At 41.8% G+C, this 26,778-nt stretch overlaps 1 protein-coding gene and 1 long non-coding RNA gene across 16 annotated transcripts in view; one reads left to right on the forward strand and one right to left on the reverse strand.

The window, feature by feature from the left end:
- ST6GAL2 (ST6 beta-galactoside alpha-2,6-sialyltransferase 2) overlaps positions 1 to 12,509 on the reverse strand; it is an 85,678-nt gene extending 73,169 nt beyond the window's left edge. For 4 of the 15 annotated variants that reach the window (NM_032528.3, NM_001142352.2, XM_047446031.1 and 1 more), the window contains exon 1: positions 12,208 to 12,341. The gene's annotated coding sequence lies outside the window, so the exon portion shown is untranslated. Of the gene's footprint in view, positions 1 to 10,406; positions 10,469 to 11,098; positions 11,400 to 11,962; positions 12,102 to 12,207; positions 12,342 to 12,398 lie in introns of those variants that run through there. The other 11 variants (NM_001142351.2, XM_011512001.3, XM_011512000.3 and 8 more) reach the window with 6 other exon arrangements.
- LOC124907864 (uncharacterized) lies at positions 11,765 to 20,629 on the forward strand. The gene is made up of 2 exons (XR_007087169.1): positions 11,765 to 12,339; positions 18,281 to 20,629. It is a non-coding gene; the product is annotated as an uncharacterized LOC124907864 (long non-coding RNA).
- Positions 20,630 to 26,778: the final 6,149 nt, after the last annotated feature.

Genomic DNA, 26,778 nt, shown 5'->3' on the forward strand with positions numbered 1-26,778 from the left:
GACTGTGGACAAGCACATGAAGCATAAACACATATTTTCAAGCCACTTAAATAGTGTGTGCCCAAGGGCACATTATAGACAAGCCAGCATTTGCAGCAGCAGGTAGCAGAGGCAGCTTCCTCTTCAGGAAACAGACACCAAATCATTAGAACCTTAACGCTGTGTCAACTTTGGCTGCCAAATATGCAGCTCCATACCAAATGGTACCATTTACATCTGGCTCTGTATCTAAGCCAACTTCTTTGGCTTTAAGAAAATTCTGAATTTATACAATATAATATGAGTACATCTGATTTTCATTAGGCAGTCTGCCTGTTCTCCTTTTTCACTTTTGAAATCACATTTATATTTCTTATTCTCTTCCGTTCTACTAAATTTTAAGATATCACTTTACTTTTTTTGTTTCTTTTTTTTTTTTTTTTGAAATGGGGTCCCACCCATTTGGTCATCCAGCCTGGAATGCAGGGTGTGATCTCAGCTCACTGCAACCTCCGCCTCCCAGGATCAAGCAATGCCCCCAACCTCAGCCTCCAGAGTAACTGGGACCACAGGTGAGTGCCACCACTCTTGGCTAATTTTTGCTATTTTTGGTAGAGATGGGGTTTCGCCATGTTGCCCAGGCTGGTCTTGAACTCCTGAGCTCAGGCAATCCACTCATTTTGTCCTCCCAAAGTGCTGGGATTACAGGCGTGAGCCACTGCACCCAGCCCATTCCACTTTTTCTTTATATTCCTTTGAACTTTAGTTTTTGGTATCATGGACACATCTCTCAAAGCTGGTCAGCACACTCCAAGTACAGACCAGCAACTGATGGGGTACGGGAAAGGCCTGGATTGGGTTTTTATATTTACATTCATTGTTTCCAAATTGCAATGCAGAATTTCTGTATAAGAACAAAACTACAAGGAATCTATATGACTTTAATCTTCCATGTCCTGATGAACTTTTCCTGATGAGCTAGTTCTTTAAAACATCTCCTAAGAGAATCTAATTATATTATGTAGAAAAGCTTCTAAAACTGACCATATAGGAAGCTTCCATATTATAATTGGGATAGAAATATATCATCTAGAAACAACAGAGATTCCTTGGGCTAAGAGTCCTATATCAATGTCCACTTGCAATATTAAATTTTTTCCAAATTCACAATTCAGAGGCTACAAGTTAAATGCCAAATAAAATTAAACTCAGTTAGTAGATTTCTTTTTTTGTAAATAGATGAGGTCTCGTTCTGTCCCCAGGCTGAAATGCACTGGAACAATCATAGCTCACTGCAATCTTGAACTCCTCTAGGCTCAAGAGATCCTCCTGCCTTAACCTCCTGAGAAGCTGAGATTAAAAGTGCAAGTCACCATGCCTGGACACAAATTTCATTTTTAAAGTGTGTTTTTTTTCATATAAATATTATATGTCCAGCATTATTTTTAATAAACTGGAATATTTTAAAATACATCTTCAAGATTTAGAGTAAAATGTACTGGCTTGTACTACATTTTAAAATTTACTTTTGGTCTTCTGGTTATAGTCTACTGAAGGAAGATCTAAAGCACTGAACAAATGGCAAAACTAAGCTCTTCTGTTATAGCAATCCTGGGGTTTTTATAACAAAATGAACTTCAGACAGCATGAAAGTTTCAATGATGAACAAATATTGAACTTTTGTATTTTAATAGCACAACCAATACTTCATTCCTGGTTAACTTTACCTTATTTTTTAAAAAAGATAAATTGTTTAAAAGTTATTTTGTTTAAACTTTAAGTATAAACTGGTGAGCAGGTGACACAAAACTAATCTACTCTGATATAAATCAGAATAGTGAGTACCCATTGGGGGACAGTGACCAGAAGAGGGCATCAGGAGGCTTCTGGGGTCCTGGTAAGAATTGCTTCTTGATGTGCTGGTTATATAGGTATATTCAATTTATGAAAATTCATCAAACCATACGCATGCTCTGTGCAAGTTGGCACTGGCAAAAGATTTAATAATTAATTTTTTCATGTAGCAATTTTCTGGTTAAGGTATACAGCTGAAGAAAACAAGACAGATAGGGTAACTGCATAAAAGCCGGAGTAAACCTGTGCCTTGGAGGTAGCAGGCGCCACAGCTTCCTCCCTCCGCATGTGGACAGAAGCAGCACATTGGTGAGAAAGACATGTGCTTAGAGAGGCAGAAAATGAGGAAGAGAAACGTTCAGGACTCCAAAGAGTCTATTTAGAGGAAAAAAAAGGTGGTAGGTGGGGGAAAGTAAAGATGACATGTTTCTTTGTACCATTTTCTCCTCCCACATTCCATTTGACATCATGCAGAGATGTTCATTTGACATTTCTGGGTTGAAGACTATGAGGGGAATGCATCCCATGGACCAGTGGTTACTGACTACAATACCACCTTCAGAAAGTTTAGGAAATCCTCTTATGGCCTTCTGTGATTTTCAAGTTGGGGATATAGCCAAGATGGCTTCTTGCAGACCTTCGATCCCAGAAGGTGGTTTGGGGGCAATATTCCACCTCAGTCTTTTGTACCTGAAGTTGATGAACTCTGACATGTGAGATTACATGGAGCTGACAATGTCACATGAAAGTAAATCTGGATTAAAATATTACATATACATGTATATACACACGATAGAAGGCCTGCGAGCTCCACACCTTCGTTGTGTGCAATGATGTCACTCGCCCAAGCGTCTGAACACATCAGCACCTATGAGCTTCTTTTGGTAAAATTTAGTATCTACCTCCCATTCTACCATCATAAACAATGGGGCCTGTGACTTAGTCTCTATTTCTCCCCCACCTTAGAGACTGTCAGTACCAAATGAAGAAAATTTTATTTTGAAGTACACAGTTGAACATGCCAAGAGGCTTAACCACATCTCTATAAAAATATTTGGTTGGCACCTACACAAGATAAACAAGAGTGCTCAAATACCTTACTGCATTCATTAATCCTTATTTTCTACCCACCATATATACATAAAACAAACAAACAAAAACAGGTGTGAGCACCTTCCTACAATTCTGTTCCCTACAACCTCTCCACACACACAAATCTGAATGTTACTTAAAGGAGAAACAAACCAATCAATATGGGTATGCCTTTCAGTTCAGTGAGGAACAGTTCTAAGGAACAGCCTTGTGACCAAGGTCCTACTGTCTGGGTTGAGCAGGGACCTGAAGGGCTGCACCCTGGTGCCTGGCTGGAGGTTGTGCCCACCACCCTGAAAATTCAGTGGCTATTGCTTAGGTGCTGGATGCACACAGTAATTCCCAAACCAAATCTGTACGCCCGTCACAGTTAACCCTCTGCATCCGCAGGTTCCACATCCACAGATGCCACCCACCACGACTCAAAAACATTTGGAAAAACAAATAAATACGAATACAACAATAAAATACCAATAAAAATACAGTATAGGCTGGCATAGTGGCTCATGCCTGTAGTCCCAGCACTTTGGGGGTTGAGGCGGGAGGATCGCTACAGACCAGAAGTTCAAGACCAGCCTGGGCAACAGAGTGAGACCCTGTCTCTCCAAAAAATTTTAAAAAGTAACCAGGTGTGGTGGTGCCCACCTGTAATCCCAGTTACTCAGGAGGCTGAGTGGGGAGGATTGTCTGAGCCCAAGAAATTGACGCTGAGGTGAGCCATGATTGCACCACTGTACTCCAGCCTAGGCAACAGAGTGAGACCCTGATTGTAAAAGACAAAGACCAGGCTGAGCGTGGTGGCATGTGCCTGTAATCCCAACATTTTTGGAGGCCAAGGTAGGAGGATCACTTGAGTCCAGGAATTCAAGACCAGCCTGGAGAGAACAGTAAGACCCCTATCTCTCAAATAGAAATAAAAAAACAAAACCAGCGTAACTGTTTAGATAGAATCTACATTGTATTAGGTACTATAAGTAACCTAGAAACAATTGATTTAAAATATACAGGAGAATCTGCCTAGGTTATGCAAAGATACTATGCCATTTTATATCAGGGACTTGAGCATCCATGGATTAGGGTATCCATGGAGAATACTGGAACCAATCCCCTAAGGATACTGAGGGATGACTATATTTCTACATCATAAACCCACCTCTCATTTTCAACACAGTGTGGTAAGAACAAGATTGAGCTAATTCGGGCAATTGAAAGACAGGGATCGACATGGAGTAAAATGAGTTTGTTTAGTTTTACCTGTAAGACACACACATTAAGCACTTGATTATACTCATGGGCTTCCAAATTATAATTGGGATAGATACACACCATCTAGAAACAACCAAGGTTCCTTAGGCCAGGAGTCCTTCCATTACCCCTTAAGAGGCACATTGTGTAATACAGTCTAAAGCTTTCCTTTCACCCACTTCTGGTTCTACATCGAATACCGTGCTTAACAGTCATGAGACAATACTGAAAAAATGCCAAACAAAAAAAATTAACCCTGCCTCTTCTGTGTATGTATCCAATGGTGATATATGGGGTATTAGTGGGATATGATGATAATACAGCATGATGTGTTTTAACTCTGTGGGGCAAAGTGTAGAGTGAAGCAAGTAACAAATGTTTAGATTTAACTTACGGAAGCAATCACATTATTTTAAAGCCATACCTTTCTGACACTTTCCTACTACTATCAATTCAACTTTGGAAACTCTCCCACCTCAAATAGTTAATGAAATAACCTACTTAAAGGCACCCCATGAATGTTATTCTAACATATCAAGTATTGACTCAGGCCAATTACTTAATTAGTTCAACTTTCCCAGCTACTAATTTTGAACATCAGGCAGAAGAATGTTTTTTAACTACCCTGTCACTCAGAGGGGGTAAGCTGCCCTTTAAACAACAGAAATTATAGACCAATTATATATATATCTATTATAGACCAATTATATACGTATCTAATGTATATAATAGAAATTATATATTAGACCAATTATATATTATTATATAGACCAATTATATATTATTATATAGACCAATTATATATTATTATATATACATATAGACCAACTATATACTATTATACGTATAGATCAATTATATAGACAAATTATATACTATTATATATAGATAATTAATCTATATATAATCTATAAACTATAATATATACATTATACATATAGACCTATATATACATATAGACCAATTATATACTATTATACTTACAGACCAATTATATACTATTATATATATACATATAGACCAATTACATACTATTATATACACATATAGACCAATTATATACTATTATAGACCAATTATATACATACCTAATGTATATAATAAAATTATAGACCAATTATATACATATCTATACATATATTGACATACTTTTAAAAGAAAACCATATTACACTTGTCTATTTCCCATTTATTCATAAATTATTTAAAATTTACCTTAGAAATTAGAGCATATAATTTTCTTTTAAAATAACTCTTAGGCTTATGGTTTTAATTATTTTGCCTATGTCTATAGTGATTAAAAGACACTATAATTCAGGGCAATTCCAAATAGTCACCTGCTTTCCAGAAAAAAGATTGAATAACCTATAGTATTTGGTGAACTTCTGGCTGACCTAAAACATCTCAAGTGGTTCATCTCTGTCATCACAGAGAACAGCTAACCAATATGTAGGATTCCAGTCATCAGCCTGGGGCCAGGTTCCCCGAAGGACCTGCCTGAGAAGACAATCTCAAAAGTTAGTCTCAACAGTCAAATGCATTCTGCATTTCACCAAAGGGACCAAGGGAGTAGAGGTTCTTGCATGTTGAGCATGATGTCTGCTATTGTCATAAAGAACATTTACACAAACATTCACATTCACATATATGTACACACATAAGTATGTTTTCCATATGTATCCTATTTATAATAAACTAAGAGAAAGTTTAAATCTTAAACATTTTTGTTGGTTTCTCACAAGCCATGTAATTTGGAAGATAAAATTTTCCCAGAGATAAGCCACATAGGAAAAAGAATGTTCTTCCTTCAGTTGGAAGGGCTAGGCTCTTGTCCTGACTTTGTTAGTCAATAGCCATGAATCCCAACAATTAATGCTGAAGTATCCTAATTCAAGTTCCCACTCCTGATTGCTGATGTAACAACACATAATGCAGGAATTTATTCCTCTGGTACCTACTTGCAAGTGTGTGAATGTGTCTGTGTGTGTATGTGTGCACATGTGTTCTTTTGAAAGACATTCCTCTTTTTCATATGAAAATTTCTTTTATTTATTTCTTTATTTTCTGAGATAGGGTCTCACTCTGTCACCCAGGCTGGAGTGCAACAGAGTGATCATGACTCACTGCAGCCTCAAACTCCAGGGCTCAGGTGATTCTCCCAACTCAGCCTCCTGAGTAGCTGGGACTACAGGTGCATGCCCTCACACCTAGCTAATTTTTGAAAATTTTTTTGTAGTTATGGGGGTCTTGTTATGTTGCCCAGGCTAGTCTTAAACTCCTGGGCTCAAGCAATCGCCTGCATCAGCCTCCCAAAGTGTTGGGATTATAGGCACTGCACCAGGCCCATACAGAGATTTCTAATGGGGTATAGTTTCCCTAATTTTAAAATATAATTTACATAGCAAGATCCCTCTTCTAACAGTACAAACAAATCCATTCATTTAATCCTAAATGTACAGTTCCATTTTGTAACTGGGTTAGCTCTATCATTTAGAAAACAAATCCCATATTAACTGTACTTTTTTCTACCCATTTGAGGTCAGTGGCACAATTATGGGTTTTTGGCACATAGCAATATACTTACATTTCAGAAAAGTCATCATTACACTTTCAAAGAAGCTACTTTTACATTTTACTTCTGAATAATGAAAGCTATTGGATTATCTAAGAGACTTACCCTTTCCCATATTTAATTTAAAGCTAAGTCATTTTAGAAACCACAATTACCAACATGCAAGAACCTCTACTTGAAAAATTTGTAGAATTTGAACATGGAAAACCAATTGTTTTAAATTTAATAAAGCATTTTTCTCTCGGGCTCAAACAGTAGAAGCAGCCCAGAGTAGAACTTAGTGTGAATTATAAACTTCTGAAAACAAAGACTTATAATCAAGATATTGCAGAGTTTTTCTTTACAGTGTATTCTCTAATGCTTTAGCCAATGTATTTTTAAATGTCCCAGGAGACTACTTTTTGAACTTGCTCTCCTTACCAACCCAGTAACTCAAAGCAGATGGATCATTTTCTTGAATCTTAGCCTAAATTTTTCCTTGGAAATTTCACTTGATATGACATGCTTCGTATCAGCCCAAATTTCATTCTAATAATGACTGCCTGGATATTCCACATTTCATAGCCCATTTTTAAGTTGCAGCTTAAAACCTTTTCTGCTTCCAGGTTCTGATGAACACATGCTTTCTGTATACATGGGCTCCCTGACATCCTCTTCCATCATATACAATCTTCCCCATCCAGCAGGCTCAGCCTGATTTGAGGACATGAAAACTGATAGTCTTAGTTGGTCTCTGGCCCCACACAATTACAGGAGTTGTCATTCTTGTTTTCCTCTGTTGAGGGGATCTCAGTCTAATAGCATGGGTTTTGGACACCCAGACACAGGTTCAAATCCCAGTTCTGCCAAGGCACTTTACCTTCCTGAGGTTCAGTCTTCTCGCCTGTAAAATGGGCACAATGATACCTCCCAGGATTGTGGCTAAAGTACACTTTGATAATCTGTGCAAAGCAAATGGCAGGATGTAGTACATCATAAGTGCAAATTAGTTACTATTATTATTCTTTGAATTACTACCATCTCCTGAGGCTGCACAGGAATTAGCTTTTAAGTATGCCACAACTTACAATTATCAGTTTTGTGGAATCTCACACCAGAAGACATGTGGGAAAGGATTTAATATAAGCCTTCCTTTTCCAGCCTTGGAAACTGAGCTCTGATAAGGCTGTCTTTCTCCAGTGCTGGTCGCTGCAGAAGCACTGGCCAATAGCTTTCCTTTGCTCTCTAAGAAAGTCCAGTGCAAAACTACAAACCTAGCCTTCACATGCTTCTAGCTTTGTAAAGCCACTGCATGCCTTCAATTTGGACTTCTTCCCTAGACAAGACCACAGAGGGCAGCAGAAGCCAGGATGGCACAGAACAGTTCCGTCCAGATAGAAGTCCTCCGCAGTGGGCAGCATGCCTCTGATGTCATTTCCATACACAGAACAATTCTCCCAACCAACCAGTAGGCCCTGGGTACTGTGGGATAATCAGGAACCTGCAGGTGGCAAAGTGAAGATAATAGTCACAACTGCTGGGACCCTGCTTTCACCAGGGCTAGGACCAATGCTGGAGCTGGACCAGATCACCAACTCCTGCAAAGCCTTAGGACTGCCCAGGTCATACTTCATCCCCTTTAAATGTATTTCACCTGTGGACTAGGTAGATGCCAAGTATTTTGAATTGCAACTGTTCCCCTATCAATTCAATGGGAGGGGTGGGAGGTGGCTGGGACCAAGCAAGGGTAAATTTCAAATTTTGTAAGGGGCATAATAAATCCGTGTTTCTCTAACACTGATATCTTCGCATTGTGTACTTAATAACATTTAGAAAGAAATTTCTCAAAAGTTGGAAGGAGAGCTTTCGGAAAAATGGTAGGTATATTAAACTGAAAATGTGGTAATCCACTAACAGTGGCTGGTCATCTACAGCCCATTCAGTGTTTGGCATTGATATCAAAAATTGGTGTAAGAACATTGAAAATTTCTGTGCAAATATGCATCTGTGTTTCCCTTCCACTTTCCAAAATTAGTATATAATTATATGCAATTGTTACTTTTATAGTCATTTGGGAATTTCATCCCATTTTTTTTAAGGGATGAGATTTCAGATTTCAATGCTTAGAAAATCAAAGCTTAACATACACCTGCCATGAGGGTACTATCTGATTCCCTTAGACATTTATGCATGCTGAATTAAGTACTTAATTTAATTTAAGCAATTAAATTTTAAGATCATATTACAGAAAATCCAGGAAAAGAAAAAACTCAATCAATCAGGAATAACACAATACATTTAAAGAGCAAATGCATTAACAAAGACTGTCCTTATTATCATGCATAAGATATTTTTATTCAAAGTCTCACCCATGAGGTAGCAATCTGCAAACTAATTAAGAGCTTCCCAGAGGACAAATATCTCCAAGTTTTTGGAAAGGAACCTATCATTTATTTACCTAAGAAGGAGTGGCAGAAGCCTAGAAATCAGTTTGTCTTTCAGAAAAGATTTAATCATTTGAGAAATGCTTGGATAAATTCTAAACCTGGAGGGTAAAATTTCAGTCAGTATCAGTATAAGCAATAGACCAGAGCCTCACACACTGAAATCATCTCAGAAAGAAGAGAAACTCGGGGGTGGGGGGGTGGAACCTCCAGAAACAAGCACGTACAGGAATTTTTTCAGCAGTCCCTTCGCTATTTAATCTTTGCTGGCTGGATTGGCCACAACTCCCTAGACTCAACTTATGTCTTCACCCCACAGAGTAAACCTTTTCCCTCTTAATTATCCTCATCAGAAACTCAACACAGATAACTGCCCTCTTCTGCATAATAAATCATTCACATATTTTCAAATGTTAAATTGTCTCAACTTTGAATCCTCTAGTCTAAAAATCCTGAATTTTGTATCCTTGCTTCCTAGATCCTGTGCACCACATAGCAAACTCACCAAATGTTGGTCCTTGCTCTGACCTCACTCTTTCCAGGAGTATCCATCCAAAGCCTCTCTAAACTGTGGAGCTCAGTACTCCATATAAAGCAGTGACTCCTATCACAATCTCTACAAGACATTTAACTCAAAACTCCAGAAGCTTTCACAGCACCAAGCAAAAATGTAAGATGCTACCATTTGTATCTATTGCGGCAAAAATTGGATAGAGTGCCTTTTTAACTTTGCAGTAAAATTCAAGGCACTTCACCTATTATTTTAGACTTTCATCAGTTTTGAGCACAATATCCATTCACCTTTGCCAACAGTTTCTTTTAATGCATTAGTACAAAATTCCTCAAGTGGTATATAAAAATTTTGGTTGTCAGTTCCAGAAAAATAATGGGGGAAGGAGAGTGGGTAAAAACAGGTTCAAGGCCACACATCAGTTTTCCTTTTAAAAAAAGTTTTAACCCTAAATTTGCAGCGCATATATATATATATATATATATATATATACATACACACACACACATATATACATATGTGTATGTATATACATATACATCATATATATATAGCACTTCACTTTATTGGAATTCTTCCTTGGTCATAAATTATATTTCAAGTTGGCAAAAAATGTTGATCAGAATTTCAAAAAAGGGAAGCATCAAAGTAACCAGCATGGGGTTTTTCAAGTGTGCAGAAAGTTCTCTAAATACAAAATGTGCTTCCAGCCCACCAAAGACCCCCCTCACCCAAGCAGGCAGTCCTCGGCGAGGAGGGTCAGCATGCCCCTTTATGGTCAGAACGGCAGTGGTGCAAAAGACAATGATTTCAACCAAATATGGTTTGCCTCTCGCCAAATTTTTCGCATGTCCAATAAAAATAAGTTCACAAAAATCCAGCCAAGCATTACTTTCCCCCCAAAAGTGCTTCTCAGATTACAAAACAGCTTTGAAAGTTCAGCCTGACAAAACAAATATGGTACTAGGAGGAGAGACCTGGAAGGCAATCACAAAAAGTCTCATTTAAATTCCTGGAAAGCACAGCTTCTCCAAACACAGCTATTCAGCTCTTTGGAAGGCAGCACTTGCGGGAGCCATTGAGTTTAACTTCACTCAGTCCCCCAACACAGAACCGGCAAATCCGAATGAGATGGACGTCACACTCCCTACTCAAAAGAATGCATCAAATATCCACTCCGTAACACCGCGGAAAGTAAACCCAAAAGCGGAGTTTGCCGCCTGCCAACTACATAAGAATTAACACTCGGGTATTTAGGATTCTAAAGATCCCTACTACCCCAAACATTATAGCCACAGAGAACCAGAAATGAACAGAACACACTTTAACCTTTAAGAAGTGCAGTTTTGTACGGGGGTTGGCTGAAGAAAGACAAAAATCTTCACTCCCTTCCAGAGCCAAAAGAGCCAAAATAAAAGATCACCTTTACTGAGCCACAGGGGCACAACTGTATCCGCCCGTCCCCAAAGCGCAAGCCGTCCTCCCGTTCGCTTCTCCAGAATTTCCTGCTTTTCCCCAAACCACCTTCAACATTCCCCACACACGGGTCTCGCTCCTAAACACGGAGTGTAACTCCGCGCACAGCAGCGCGGAGGCTGCAGCGCCACCAAGAAAGGCGTCGCCAACCCTTACCCAGTGCCCTCCCTTACCAGCCTTCTTCCCACGCCGCGCCTCGAAGCGCACGACACCGTGGTGCTCGGTGCTCCCCCTGGCAGCGCGGCACTGGAGTCCAAGGCGTGCGTGTCACATTTTATTCCCCGGCAGCCGCTCGGGTGCGCGCGCTACGCGCTCCCACACTCACGCTGGCGCCCGCTAGAGCTGGGACCCTGGCCGGGGTCCCCGACTCACGCCGCGGAACTTGGGGGCTGCAGAAGGCGAGTGCGCGGCGGGAGTCGTCCTGCCGCAGGCTCGAGTCCTCCTCCTGCCACCGTGGGGTCTCGGAGCTGCCCCGCGCTCCCGTCCCAGGCGGCCTGCGGGATCACCTCTCCGGGGCCAGCGCTGCTCCGCGCCGGCGGCAGCTGCAAGCGCGGGCGGCGGGGCACAGCGGGTGGCTCGGCCTCAAAGCCGGCGGGAGGCTACGCTCAGCCCCGCGCTGCACGCCTCATTGTTTCGGGCAGCGCGGCGGCGGCTCCCGCGGCCAGAGGAACCGCGGCCCCGAGCCCCGGGGAGAGGCGGCGGTTCCCGGCCCACGCACCGAGGCTGCGCCGCGCCCCGCCCCCGAGCTCCGCTCGCCCCAGAGCCCCCTCCCTCTCCGCGATCCCTTTCATCCTTCCCGCTCCAGGCTCACCTAGCTGGCGGGAGCCGGGCACTGGGAAGTTGGGCTGCCCCCTCCCCGCGCCCCCGGCCCGGCAGCTCGGCCCGCCGGCGAGCGCAGGCGGGGCGCTCCCTGGCTGCGCGCGGATTTCTGCTTGTCGCGGAGAGTGACTGCAGACTTGGGCTGCGTGGGGCGGTGCGGGGCAGCACGGCTGCCTAAAAAGGCGTGTTTCTCCCCGGCCGCCGCCTCCATCCAGCCCTAGTTCTTCCGAAGGTTACCTGCACAGTACCCGCCTGGCACCGCGCCTGGACACCTCCGGGGCACTCGGGTCCCGGGCGGCGGCAGGAATGCAGGAATGCGCACAGGCTGTGGGCGGCCAGGAGGGAGTCCCGGCGCCTGCCCCGGCGGAAGTGAGTCTTTGTGTACCCTGTCCAACACCTCCCCCCGCCAGCGCGGAAGGCCGGGCTACCTGCGCGCCTGGCAGCGCCTGGCAGCCGGCTGGGTGGGGCGCAGGGGAGCGCAGCATCCTCCCCGGCTCGCTAGCTCCCTTTGTTCATCTCGCTCAACCAGGCTCCGCACTGCCGCCTGGCCCTCGCTCCCAGAGCTTCTCTAAGGATATGGGATGGACTTGGGAGCGGGCCACCTTTCATTTGGGAAGGGTAGCTCGCCAAGTCCGGTGACGGTGCTCCCTGGAGACCCCCACCTGCCCGCCCCTCCACACTGCCGGTCCCCAACCCCAAGAGGGACGGAAAGTTCTTGGGGTAGAAGCCGGCGGGACAAGTGGTTGAAGCAGCCTCCGGAGCCAGTGGGCGGCTGCGAGCTGGGCAGCTGGAGCCTGCGGGCGGGGCCGCGGGGAGGTGCCCATCGAGTGTCGGTCTGGTCGCGTGCGGAATGTCCACTTGTCACCGCGGCCCTTGCGTTTTCTCGAGACGGCGGCAGCTGGTCCTAGGACCCCAAACCGCGCCGCCCTTTGTTTGCTGGTAAATACTCTCCTGTGAACTTCAGCGTGTCTCTCCGCGCGCACTCCTGGCATTGGGTGCCCCACCCCGCTGGTTCTCTCGCGGACCCAAAGAGCTGTTCAGGTGTAGGGGAATCCCAGGTAGATGGATAATATTGCTAAGGTTGGGCCCATCTCAGGGGGACTGGTTAGTCACCCCTCACCCCACCCCACACCCTCAGTCGCTAGAAGGACACACGTTTTGGAGACAGAGATCTGCCATTAAATGTATTATTTAAAAATCCGCAAATACTTTTATTCAAGTAATTTAGACTTTTTTTTTAGGGGGGAAAAAGCAATTAACTGGCTACCCAATTCATTCAGCATTCATTAGTGCCTACCTTAGCCTGGAACTCTGAGCTAGACAGTGGGCGCCCAGAACTCCCTCAAAGAGTTTACAGAAATGTAAAACAGCACGGGAATTAAACTAAAATCGAGTGGGTATAATGCACTGTGTTCAAACAAAAGTGTGGGCCGAAAACGCTTACTCAGTATTTCCCCAATTGTATTAATTATGTCTGACACATGGAATTCTGCGGAACTGCCTGAATGAACAATGTGTTACACAGATATTTTTTAAAAAAAGAAAAATTATGGCCGGGCGCGGTGGCTCACGCCTGTAATCCCAGCACTTTGGGAGGCCGAGGCGGGTGGATCATGAGGTCAGGAGATCGAGACCATCCTGGCTAACAAGGTGAAACCCCGTCTCTACTAAAAATACAAAAAATTAGCCGGGCGCGGTGGCAGGCGCCTGTAGTCCCAGCTACTCGGGAGGCTGAGGCAGGAGAATGGCGTGAACCCGGGAAGCGGAGCTTGCAGTGAGCCGAGATTGCGCCACTGCAGTCCGCAGTCCGGCCTGGGCGACAGAGCGAGACTCCGTCTCAAAAAAAAAAAAAAAAAAAAAAAAAAAAAAAAGAAAAATTATATTTTATAAATGTGAAATACATACAGTGTGGTTAAAAGTGACCAAAACAAAACAGAAACAAACAACCTGATAGAGACCCATAGCTGGTGGGGATAGAGAAAGGAAATACTGCAGAAAGACTCACCTTCTTAATAGTAGAGGGGCGCAGAGGGGGTTGCAAAGTCTGTGGGCTTCTGTTTCTCTTCTGTATAATGGATGTAATAGTACCTACCTTCAGCCTGGCGCGGTGGCTCACACCTGTAATCCCAGTACTTTGGGAGGCCGAGGCGGGCGGATCACGAGGTCAGGAGTTCGAGACCAGCCTGGCCATAATGTTGAAACCTGTCTCTACTAAAAATACAAAAATGAACCGGGCGTGGTGGCAAGCGCCAGTAGTCCCAGCTACTCGAGAGGCTGAGGCAGGAGAATCGCTTGAACCTGGGAGGCGGAGGTTGCAGTGAGCCAAGCTGGTGCCACTGCACTCCAGCCTGGGTGACAGAGAGAGACTCCCTCTCAAAAAAAAAAAAAAAAAAAAAATTATATAGTATCTATCTTCAAGGTTTGTTGTAAGTAGAGAGCATGTGTTAAAAGCATCTCCCCCAGTGCCTGACATGTTATACCTAATAAATTGTAGTAATTAATAAATGACAGTGGCCATTATTAAAACACTTTACCTTGAAACAGAAAAAATTGTACACTTTTTATAGTGTATATATATCTTATACACTTACTATCCTTTCTGCGTAAATACTGCCAAAGTTGATATCTTAAAGAAATTTTAATGAGTTAAATAAAAGTGTCCAAATAACAGTCAACTTTATAGAAGTAGAAAAACTACCATCTTAAGGCAAATATGCAAATTACTGTTGTAAAACTTTAAGTGGATTGAGTTCATTACTTATGATCAAGGTAGTAAATACACAGTCACTAAACCGACTTAAATCTATTGCTTCCCAAAGGAACCACAAAGCCAGTTTATATACAGGAAGCTATATGCTGATGATTGCTTCTGTCAAAGTGTAATGGTAAATAAAATATTTTGGCACCCTTTAGTTTAATTACTCAGAGACACAAGGAGCAGATTATTTAATTATTTTATTGGTCTGTAGATTCATGAGGAATTCCTGAGTACCTCTGGCACTATAATATTATTTTCCTTACAAAATCATCAATAACAACAAAGCACAATAAACTTATTCCTACAGATAGGCAGCATTCAGAAATCCACTTGCTGTTATCCATTTGCTCATAATAATATGAATTTCCTTTCTTTCTTTTTTTAAATTCAGGGTTCCTCAATTCTCCTTTTCTCACCCTGTGTTAACTAACCAGCTGAGCTTTCACAGGGACAATTCCTTCCTGTTTCAGGAACTTGAAGCACATCATGAACAATCAACCAAATCAGGAAGCTCAGTTACTCAGCTGAGAAGCATTCAGGTGGGACAGGGATGAAGAATAAATATCTTCTAACTCCACCATTGGTGAATCTGGGCTATTTTATTTCTCTTACCTATTGTTCATATAAATATATTTTTCTCCCATTCATTATGCCACTCAAATTTCACAATAAAACTATAGATTATTTTACAGATGGGAAAACTCACCGATAGAAACTTTCAGGACCACTTTCTCTAAACAAGTTGCCTTCGTTTTCTGATTTACCTGAGATTTTCCATCTGTAGCATTGCAAAAACACATTGATTTCTTCCCTTGCTTGAGAAATTAGTACCTCAGAAAGGAAAATCTATATCTGGGCTCCTCCTATTTAATCAGTGAAACGAATTTTCATGTGGCCGATCAGTATTTAAAAAAAAAAGAATTTCAGATTCTTGCTTTTTGGAACCCATTATCCACTGACAAGATCAGGTAGAAACATTTGTTTCCTAGCCAACCCATAGATTTTTTTAAAAAAGTAGTTCCCTTTGTCTTTGGAAATGTTCATAAGGAAATAGACCACCATTAGAAAAAAAATGCTTCAGGTATTTGCATATGTATAGGAGACAAAATCCTCGGCCAGCAGGAGCTTCTTCTACCTTTCTGTCAGTGTTTTCAGGTGGAGAGAAAAACATTATTTTTTAGCATCAGATATAGGAATGATGCCATTTTCAGTATCTGCAGTAGGAACAATAAAACCAAAATGCAACTGGTTACCCTTAGGCTTGCTGACACCCGCGCTAGTCTGTGGGCTGCCGTCCAGGAAATAGAGGCTGGCCTCAGAGGCGGGGTCCTGGGGCCACAACCTGACCTCAGCTGGCAATGAGCTGTACCAGACAGAGCAATAGAAAAACATGTCAGTATGTGAAAGAAACTATCCTTTCCTAAACTTCTCCTTGCAGCCCACTATCCAATATTAAAAAGACAGAACTGAAAGTTGGATCTCTGGGTTTTAGTCCTGACTTTGTCCCTTTAGTGATGTTATTTGAACTTTCTGAGTCCAAAGAACCTCATCAGCAATAGAGACAAACATCATCAGGTAGCTGCACACAAGAATCTGAGTTCATATCCAAGCTTACAGACATTCACCAAACCACAGCACTTCACAGTTTATGTAAAGACTTTTCTATCCATTATCTCATTGGATTTCTCCAGACTCTGAATGATGAAGTGCAGAGATGAGGGAATTAAGGATAAGGGTGTATAGGCCAGATAGAGGTAGCCTTGCCACTTCTTAATTCTATGGTAATAATAATTACATCTAATCATTAATATTTTAAGGTCTATATTCTAAATCCTTTGTAAGCATTAACTCATTTAATCCTCATAACAGGTTTTATTTTAATTTCTTTCACATTTAACTTTTTATTTTGAAATACTTTCTGATTTACAGAAAAACTAGATAAATAATACCAATTGTCCATATTTCCCAAATATCACCACTTTACTGTGTTTGCTTTATCATTCCTCAACTGTTTTATGTTTCCTCCTGAACTGTCAGAAAGCAAGTAACATACAACATACCCCTTTAACCCTAAATACTTCATTTTGTGTTTCCTAAGAACCGGAACATTGTCTTATGTAACAAGAGTGCAGTTATCATAATTAAGGAAATAGCATAATTAGGGAAATAGATAATACTACTATTATCTAATCTCAGAGTTTATTAAAATTTCACCAATTATCCAACTAATGTCCTTTAAGCAAAAAACAAAGAAGAAACCCCACATTCCATTCAGGATCCAATCCAGAATCATGTGTTCTAGTTAGCTGTCATGTTTCTTTAGCCTATTTAATCTGAAACAGTTCCTCTGTGTACTGGTTACATGATATTAACATTTTTGCAGAATTCAAACTATTTGTTTTGTTAAATGTTCCTCAGTTTGGGCTCATCTGTTGTTTCCCCCATGATCAGAGTTAGATTAAATTTAGGTTATGCTTTTTGTCCTGTATCTTTATCTTTTTCACCAGGAAGGCTACAGAGTGTTACGTTCCTCTCAGTGCATGCTTTGCAAAAGGCCCATTATGTTTATTTGTTCCAGGCCTGGGTGAGGTTAACTGGTTACTTGGTTAAGGTGGTACCTACCAGTTTTCCCCACTGTGAAGTTATTAGTCATTCCTTTCAAATTAAAAGGTAATGTATGTGGACATACTTGGAGGCTGTCTCAAAGAGGAACAGAAGGTGAGGAACAGTCACTGCTAGTTTTAGCCACCATTTATGGTTCCACCTGCAACGCTGGTGATTTTCTACTTTCATTGCTCCTTTGCACTTTGTGGTTAGTGTTTTGCAATAAAAAGGAGTGTTTTTTTTTTCTTTTCTTTTCTTTTTTTTTTTGAGACAGAGTCTTGCTCTGTCACCCAGGCTGGAGAGCAGTGGCACGATCTTGGCTCACTGCAACCTCCCACCTCCTGGGTTCAAGTGATTCTCCTGCCTCAGCCTCCCAAGTAGCTGGGATTATAGGCACACATGCACCACCACGCCCAACTAATTTTTGTATTTTTAGTAGAGATGGGGTTTCACCATGTTGGCCAGACTGGTCTTGAACTCCTGACCTCAAGTAATCCACCTGCCTCAGCCTCCCAAAGTGCTGGGATTACAGGTGTGTGCCACTGTGCCCCCACCATGTGCAAGGGCTTTCTGTCACCTTCCTTTAAAGAGGAGTTCAGTTCTAGAATTTGTGGATATAGATGTTAATAATGGAACAGGTGCCTGCTCTTACTGTCTAGTATATTTTCCAGGCAACAGAGTAAGCCAAACATACCCCCCTAACCAATCACACAGGAGGCCCTACTTCTAGTTAGTCACTTCCAGCTCCTCCACACCAACAGCCTCCAATCAGGGCACACCTGGAGCCTTCCCTCCCCTCTTTCCACCAAGAAGCTTTCCCACTCCTCTGCCTGCCTTTGAGTCTCTGCCAACACAGGTGATGGTGGCCAACTCCCTTGCTATGGCAAGCTCTGAACAAACACCCTTCGTTTGTTCTTATTTCAGTGGTTTTTGTTTATTTCCACACAGGCAGAAGGGAGACAAATCAGAAAGTTACCAGAAGGACACCTAACTCCACTCCAAGACCTTGAGGAGGCTTTGAAGATGGACTGAAGAGTAGTCAAGAATTTTCCATTTTAAAAATAGTGCTAAGAGAACAAACAGCTCATATGTGATGTTTCTTTGATTACCTTTTCAAAGATCTCTCCCTAACAAGCTAGCAATATAATTAATTAAAACCCACCTCAACTGCTGGGTAATTTTCCCTTGATTAGCCCTGCAATTTGTTATACATCTCTCACAAAACCCTAATCACTCTAAGGTGGAGCAGCCTGTACTGACGCACAATTGCAGCAGAGTTGAAAACACCATTCCATTTCAGAAGTCTAAATCCTACAGCAATTTAATTTTTTTTCAGTCAATGATAGAACTGGTATAAAATAGCTTTAGTTATAGAAACTAATGGAAAATAATGACGCTAATATAAGAGATATCAGAAGCATGAATACAAAGTAGAAACTTTGGACTAATTTTTTTTTCAAAAACCTTACACAGTTTTTTAAAAGTAGTACTAGATTGCCTCATATTTCTCTTGTTCAGCTCAAGTTATTCCCCCCAGTATATTTCTAGGTCTCCAACACAGCTTAAAATCAATACATGCTTCCCAAGAGTATTCTTACATGATTGGGTTGATCATAAGTTATATATTAAATAGCACAATTTAGATAGCCATAAATGTCTTTTTTATTGTTGTTGTTGTTTTGAGACGGAGTCTTGCTCTGTCACCCAGGCTGGAGTGCAGTGGTGTGATCTCAGCTCACTGCAAGCTCCACCTCTCAGGTTCATGCCATTCTCCCGCTTCAACCTCCCTAGTAGCTGGTATTACAGGAGCCCACCACCACGCCCGGCTAATTTTGTTTTTGTATTTTTAGTAGAGATGGAGTTTCACCATGTTAGCCAGGATGGTCTCGATCTCCTGACCTCGTGATCTACCACCTTGGCCTCCCAAAGTGTTGGGATTACAGGCATGAGCCACCACGCCTGGCCTAGATATCCATAAATTTCTTAATTCAAAAAATAAACAAAACTGAAAAAAATACCAAAGTAAACTGCATTACATTACATGCAAGAAATAATTTTTAAATTTTTGAGTGACTTGGCTAGGGGAACTAATTATCTTGTGACATGTAGAAATATGAGAGGGAAAGAATCAATTTCTTCTACCCTTTCAGTTCAGCTTAACTTATGGTGGCAGTATTGATGAGACATAATGAATAATTTGTTCTGAAAAGGTTAGCACTTTTTAAAATGTGCCCTTTTTTTCTAGTTTACATGCTGATATAGTTTGGATGTTGTCCCCTCTGAATCTCATGTTGAAATTTAATCCTCAGTGGTAGAGGTGGGGCCTGGTGGGAAGTTTTTGGGTCATGGGGACAGATACCTCTTGTTGAGTGCTGTCTTCTGATAGTGAGTGAATTCTCAAGAGATCTGGTTGTTTAGAAGTGTGCGGCATCTTCCCCAACTCTCTCTCGTGCTCCTGGTCTGGCCGTGTGATGCACCCACCCTGCTTAACCTTCTCTCATGAGTAAAAGCTCCCTGAAGCTTCCCCAGAAGCTGAGCAGATGCTGACGCCAGGCTTCTACAGCCTGCAGAATCGCAAGCCAGTAAACCTCTTTTGTTTATAAATTGCCCAGCCTCAGGCATTTATTTATAGCAATGCAAGGATGGTCTGACACACGTGGGTGGTGGAGGATGCTCCGGATGCTCCTATCTATGAGTCATTGAGAGATGATAAGAGGAAAAATACATATAAGTTCATGATTTTCCTACTGTTGAGAATGGTAACGTCCATGGAAGAATGCTCTAGAAGGCACAGTCCAAAGATGTCAGCATGGGCTGGCCACATGCAGGCAGGTTCTTGGGGCCACAGGCCTCTATGTGTGGCCAGGGGCTCTGGGGGTGCTCAAGGCCCTGTCCAAAGGGCTGGTGGAGTCAGATGTATTATTTTTGTAATACTACTAAGTGTCATTTGCCTTTTTCACTCGCTATCTCTCGTGAGGCAACGTGGATTTTCTTGAGGTTGTAGCATGTGATACTGCAGCAGAGTGACTGCACATGCAGCCATGAGGATCTACCTGTTTTTTAAGCCAGACATTAAAACAGTTTGCAAAAGTGAGAAATGATGTGATTCATCTCATGAGATTTTAAAAAATAGAGTGACTTTTCCAGCAAAATATGTGCTTTCAGTTAGCATGTGCAGTATTCCTCCCTTAAACTTGGTTTTTGTTTTGGAGGTTTTAGTTACCTGCAGAAATGGTCCATCACTGTCTGAAAATAGTCAATGGAAAATTCCAGAAATAAAAAATTTCTAAGTGTTAAGTTGTGCACTGTTCTAAGTGGTGTGATGAAATCTTTGCTGTACCACTCTGTCTTGCCCAGGATGTGAATCCTCCCTTTGTCCAATGGGTCCATGTTTGTCTCTGCCACCCACCCCCTGGTCACTCAGCTGTTTCAGCGATCAGATACACCGTCTGAGTATTGTGGTATTTGTGTGCAAGAAACCATTATTTTACTTCATAATGGCCCCAAAGGACAAGAGTGGTGATGCTGGCAATTTGGATATGCCAAAGAGAAAGCTGTAAATTTCTTCCTTTAAGCAAAAGCGAAAGTTTCTGACTTACTGAGAAAAAAATTAGATGCTGAGGTTGCTAAGATCTGCAGTAAGAATGAATCTTCTATCCATGAAATTTCAATGAAGAAAAAAATTGTACTGGCTTTACTGTCACATCTCAAACTGCAGAAGTTATGGCCACAGTGAGTGCTAGGGGCTTAGTTAAGGTGAAAAGCTCATTAAATTTGTGGGTGGAAGACACAAAGGGAAACGCTGAGACTGACAGCTATCCGGTTCTGTATTTTCCTTGGTTTCAGGCATCCACTGGGGGTGTTGAAACAGATGCCCCACCAGGAAGGCGAGGCTACTGTAATAGCTTATTTTTGTTATTTTTAAATGAATTATTTTTAAAATTTCCCAGTTTTGATTTCAAGTACAATACGTATCAATAGATAAAGCTGATAAGGCCCACACAAATAAAAGTTCTTTGGGGGCCAGGAGCGGTGGCTCATGCCTGTAATCCCAGCACTTTGGGAGGCTGAGGCAGGTGGATCTCTTGAGGCCAAGAATTTGAGACCAGTCTGGCCAACATGGCGAAATCCTTGCTGAAGAGGTGAATGAGAAAATCCCACAAGATCAAGCCCCTGGATATCAGGAGAAGAAGGAATAACAAGAAGCAATGATAATAGGGGTGAGCTATTTATTAAATATTAAGGCAGTAAATACTTTTAAAGTGTAATTACATATATTCTTTGACATCTCTTTCCCTGCTTGAATCAATAATAGCGAGGATGTCATCTGTTGTGTTCTGTGTTCTGTAAATATTTGTTAGGCGAATGCCGAATGATCAGTGCTAGCTCTGCCTCTTCACCTGACATTCATGAGGTAGCTTCCATCTAAGTACACTGTCCTCTTGCTTGTAAAAACTGGCTGCCCTTACTTTAGTTTCTTTCCCTCAACCTACCCTGCAAATGGAGGCTTCCCTCAGCAGGGATGCTCAGCTCCTCAGCGGGGCAGCAGGATACCAGCCTGCTCCTGAGATGATGTCTCCCTGTCTGTTGGGGGGGGGCACCTGCTGACCTCTTCTGAAGGCCAGATCAAGAGTGTGTCTGCCCACTGGGTACCTAGAACTCCTCAGGCTTTGACTGTGGCCAAACTCATTACCCAAGCCCACACTCACGCCAACCTCCTTCTCCCCTAGTAAGCCCTGTCTCTGTGTTTAATGGGCAGTGTTTGCAATCCAGAAGGAAGGCCGGTGTTAACTGTTACCCATGTGTGCTCATTATAGAAAAGTTGCATGGGTACCTTTACCAATGGGCATAGGTTTGACTTAATAAGGCTTGACTTGAAAACAAAATCTGAAAATAGCCTGGAATGTATAGGAATGGGCCCCTGAAACTAAAATTAACAATATTCCATGTCTTCAGCATGGAATATGGTTTGGCATTGATAGAAAATGAAACAGTGATGGACATCAGCAATGATGTTAGAGATCAGCTAACATGCAGACTAAACTGAGTTTTAATTTATCCACAGCTCACAGGAGTGAAAAGAATACAAAAGGCAGGTCAGGATGTAGCTTAGCTAATAGCATCATCTTCCACCTAGGTGCCCAATCTAAGAAGCCAGGAGTCAGAGGATATGTATACATCACTTTATTTCTAATAGCTAACTAAATCCTTTGGATCTTGTATTCACATAATCTATTTAATATATTCTTTTATTTATTTATTTTTTTGAGACAGAGTCTCACTGTGTCAACGAGGCTGGAGTGTAGTGGCACGATCTCGGCTCACTGCAACCTCCACCTCCCAGGTTCAAGCAATTCTTCTGCCTCAGCCTGCTGAGTAGCTGGGATTACAGGCCCCCACCACCATGCCTGGCTAGGTTTGGATTTTTAGTAGAGATGGGGTTTTGCCATGTTGGTTGTCCAGGATGGTCTCGAATGCCTGACCTCAGGTTATCCACCAACCTCGGCCTCCCAAAGTGCTGGGATTACAAGTGTGAGCCACTATATCCAGCCAATTTAATATATTCTTGAAAAGAATATTTTCCTAATGCTTTGGGTAAGTTTCTTATTCAACTTGCACTAAAATTATTATATGGGCCAGTCTCCCTAACTATAATTTCTCCTCAATTCAATCCACCCCTCATGGCCACCATATTATGCTCCTAAAACATAAAAATAATACACACACACACACACACACACACACACACACACACACACACGAGTTTATCTATCTCTATGCATAGAAATATCTATGTATAAGCTTATCTATGTACAGATTTACCAATCCACTCTCTCCTCTTTAAAACTTTCTTTGAATCTGTGAGCTTCAGAACAAAAACTAAACACTTTCAAGATGGTATTCATTTGCTAGTTCAAAATTCATTTTCCAGCCACATTTTTGCCATTTCTTATAATTTTTCCATATTGGAAAAATAACCGTATTGGTTATCTCTTAAACAGAATACAATTGATCCTTGACCGCTGCAGGCATTATGGTGCTGAAACCCTGTGCAGTTGAAAATCCACATATAACTTTTAACTCCCCTAAAACTTAACTACTAATGGCTTCCTATGGACTGGATGCCTCACCGATAATATAAGCTGTTAACTAACTCATATTTTATATGTTATATGCATTATGAACAGTACTATAATAAGCAAGCTACAGAAAAGAAAATGTTATGAAGAAAGTCATGAAAAAGAGAAAATGTATTTACTATTGATTAAGTGGAAGTGGATCATCCTAACAGTCTTCATCCTCGGCATCCTCACGATGAGTAGGCTGAGGAGGAGGAAGAGAAGGTATTGGTCTTTCTGTCTCAGGAACAGTGGAGGCGGAGGAGTTGGAGGAGGCAAGTGGAAGGGGAGGCAGGAGAGGCAAGCACACTCCACTTGTAACTTTTTCAAAAAAATTTTAAAGTTCTGGGGTACATGTGCAGGATGTGCAGGTTTGTTACACAGGTAAATGTGTGCCATGGTGGTTTGCTGCATCTATCAACCCATCATCTAGGTATTGAAGCCAGCATGCATTAGCTCTTTTCTCTAATGCCCTCCCTTGAAAGGCCCCTGGGAGTGTTGTTCCCCTCCCTGTGTCCATGTGTTTTCATTGTTCAGCTCCCACTTTATAAATGAGAAGATGCGGTGTTTGGTTTTCTGTTCCTGTCTTAGTTTGCTGAGAATAATGGCCTCCAGCCTCATCCACGTCCCTGCAAAGATGCATGCATGTGTATGTTCATTGCAGCACTATTCACAATAGCAAAGACATGGAATCGACCCAAATGCCCATCAGTGATAGACTGGATAATGAAAATGTTGTACATACACACCATGGAATACAATGCAGCCACTTGTAACTTTTATTGAAAAAAATTCATGTATACGTGGACCCGTGCATTTCAAATCTATGTTGTTCATTGGCCAACGGCGTTTAATTTCACTCTGGCTTTATACATTCTTTAATTAGACCCACAGTTCCCAAACAGTGTGCTGAGGTGCCCAGGAAGTCACAGCAAATTTACTAAGATTCTGCAGGATAGTTTACATTTCCATGGGAAACACAGAATACGCAATTTTCCTGTGGGATAATGTAACTTGCCAGTCTCATCATTAGAGCATGCAATATTTGTATTAATGATGTTATATCTTCTTGAAATTGTGTTTCCAGTGATTGCTCTTATTAAACATATGTAAAAAGCACAGTGGAACCAGAAATGAAGGTGGCAGTTCTCAATATGATTCTGCATTTGAGAACGTGTGTAGCACTCAGCAAGAACACACATTCTTAAGCAATTTGGGATATTTAAGATGAAGTGAAGGCATGTTTTTTCCTTCAATTTATATGTACTGTTTTTCAAATAACTACAATTAATTCTCATTATCTGCAGTAGTTATGTTCCATAAAGTCACCCCAGACAGTGAATTAGCAAATACTGAACTATTATTCCTAAGGGAAATACAGGAGTGGTTCCTGCAAGCTTCTGACCACAACAGTTTCATCAGCCAACCAATACATAACCTTGCTTTATGTGAGCTTCTGTTTAAAAACACCTTGTTTTATTTATAGTGGATTTATTAATATAGAACTTTTGGCCAACAGCACAGTAATGTAACTCCTGCCTGAACAAAGAATATCTAACAAATATATGTTCTCTGTAAGTTACATCACAGCCTTCCTGAGCTTAGGGACACTAGAAAGCACTCCAATACTATGTTTTGGTTCATTTTAAACAGCAAATTCACTAACATAAAGCACAAAAAAATGAGAGAAATGTGGCACCAAACCACAGAAAGGACATTCACTTCAACAGGAAGACAGAGCAACGTGTTGTCACCTCTGCTGGGAACATGTGGCTCAAGTGACTCAAAATGTTCACCATCTTGTGCATGTCCCTGAGTGACTTGAAAAAGCACTGTGAGGCTTGGTCTTGGGGTTACCAACACGTAGCAAGTAGGCAAACAATGAGGATCCTCTGTAAGTTGTCAAAACAGATACTTTTTAAATTGTGCGAACTTAACTAATGATTAAATGGAGCTATGCTATTAGACATTTCTTTTGGCTTAGATGCACCTTGAAGCATTTCTGAGACGCTAGAGGTCATGGTAAACTAAGTTTGAGGAACTTTCATTTAAACCTGTCTCCTCCCCAAGTTATGTATATCTCAGTTTTCTTTCCCAACCCAATGGAGCTATCCCTTCTTGACATTGGCCACTTCCCCTTTTGGCTTCCGTACCGTAACAGCTGCCTCTATCATGAGACTGGTAACTCTCTGAAATCCAAGCAAGTATTTCCTTGTTTGCCCACCTTTCTTGCTCCCCACTAGGTCACAATGTCCTAGCATCATCAACCCTAACAAGTGGAATTTTGCAAGCTCGTTTTCTGGTTCCTTATCGCTAGACACTTTGCATTGTCTCAGTCTTGCCCATTTTATTTCCAGGATTCCTGAATTTGGAGGAAGGAGGGAAGGGTAGGATCTCATTTGTGTTCGAAAAGCTTTCATGTGCTTCAGTCCTTGCTGAGCATTGTTTGCCCTTCAAGCCGTCGGTGTCTCCTTTGCGTCCTGGGGTTGGCACCACGGTTTGAGAGTGCTGCTTGCTGTTGTCTCAGTACACCAAAGGTGCTCCAAGCAGCATCCTCACCTATGGACTTCATCCGTCTTCCAAAAGTACACCATTTTTTTTTTAAATTATACTTTAAGTTTTAGGGTACATGTGCACATTGTGCAGGTTAGTTACATATGTATACATGTACCATGCTGGTGCGCTGCACCCACTAACTGGTCATCTAGCATTAGGTATATCTCCCAATGCTATCCCTCCCCCTCCCCCCACCCCACAACAGTCCCCAGAGTGTGACGTTCCCCTTCCTGTGTCCATGTGATCTCATTGTTCAATTCCCACCTATGAGTGAGAATATGCGGTGTTTGGTTTTTTGTTCTTGCAATAGTTTACTGAGAATGATGATTTCCAATTTCATCCATGTCCCTACAAAGGACATGAACTCATCATTTTTTTATGGCTGCATAGTATTCCATGGTGTATATGTGCCACATTTTCTTAATCCAGTCTATCATTGTTGGACATTTGGGTTGGTTCCAAGTCTTTGTTATTGTGAATAATGCCACAATAAACATACGTGTGCATGTGTCTTTATAGCAGCATGATTTATAGTCCTTTGGGTATATACCCAGTAATGGGATGGCTGGGCCAAATGGTATTTCTAGTTCTAGATCCCTGAGGAATCGCCACACTGACTTCCACAATGGCTGAACTAGTTTACAGTCCCACCAACAGTGTAAAAGTGTTCCTATTTCTCCACATCCTCTCCAGCACCTGTTGTTTCCTGACATTTTAATGATTGCCATTCTAACTGGTGTGAGATGGTATCTCATTGTGGTTTTGATTTGC

The sequence above is a fragment of the Homo sapiens genome, chromosome 2, assembly GCF_000001405.40.
Source record: "Homo sapiens chromosome 2, GRCh38.p14 Primary Assembly".
Classification (NCBI taxonomy): Eukaryota; Metazoa; Chordata; class Mammalia; order Primates; family Hominidae; genus Homo; species Homo sapiens.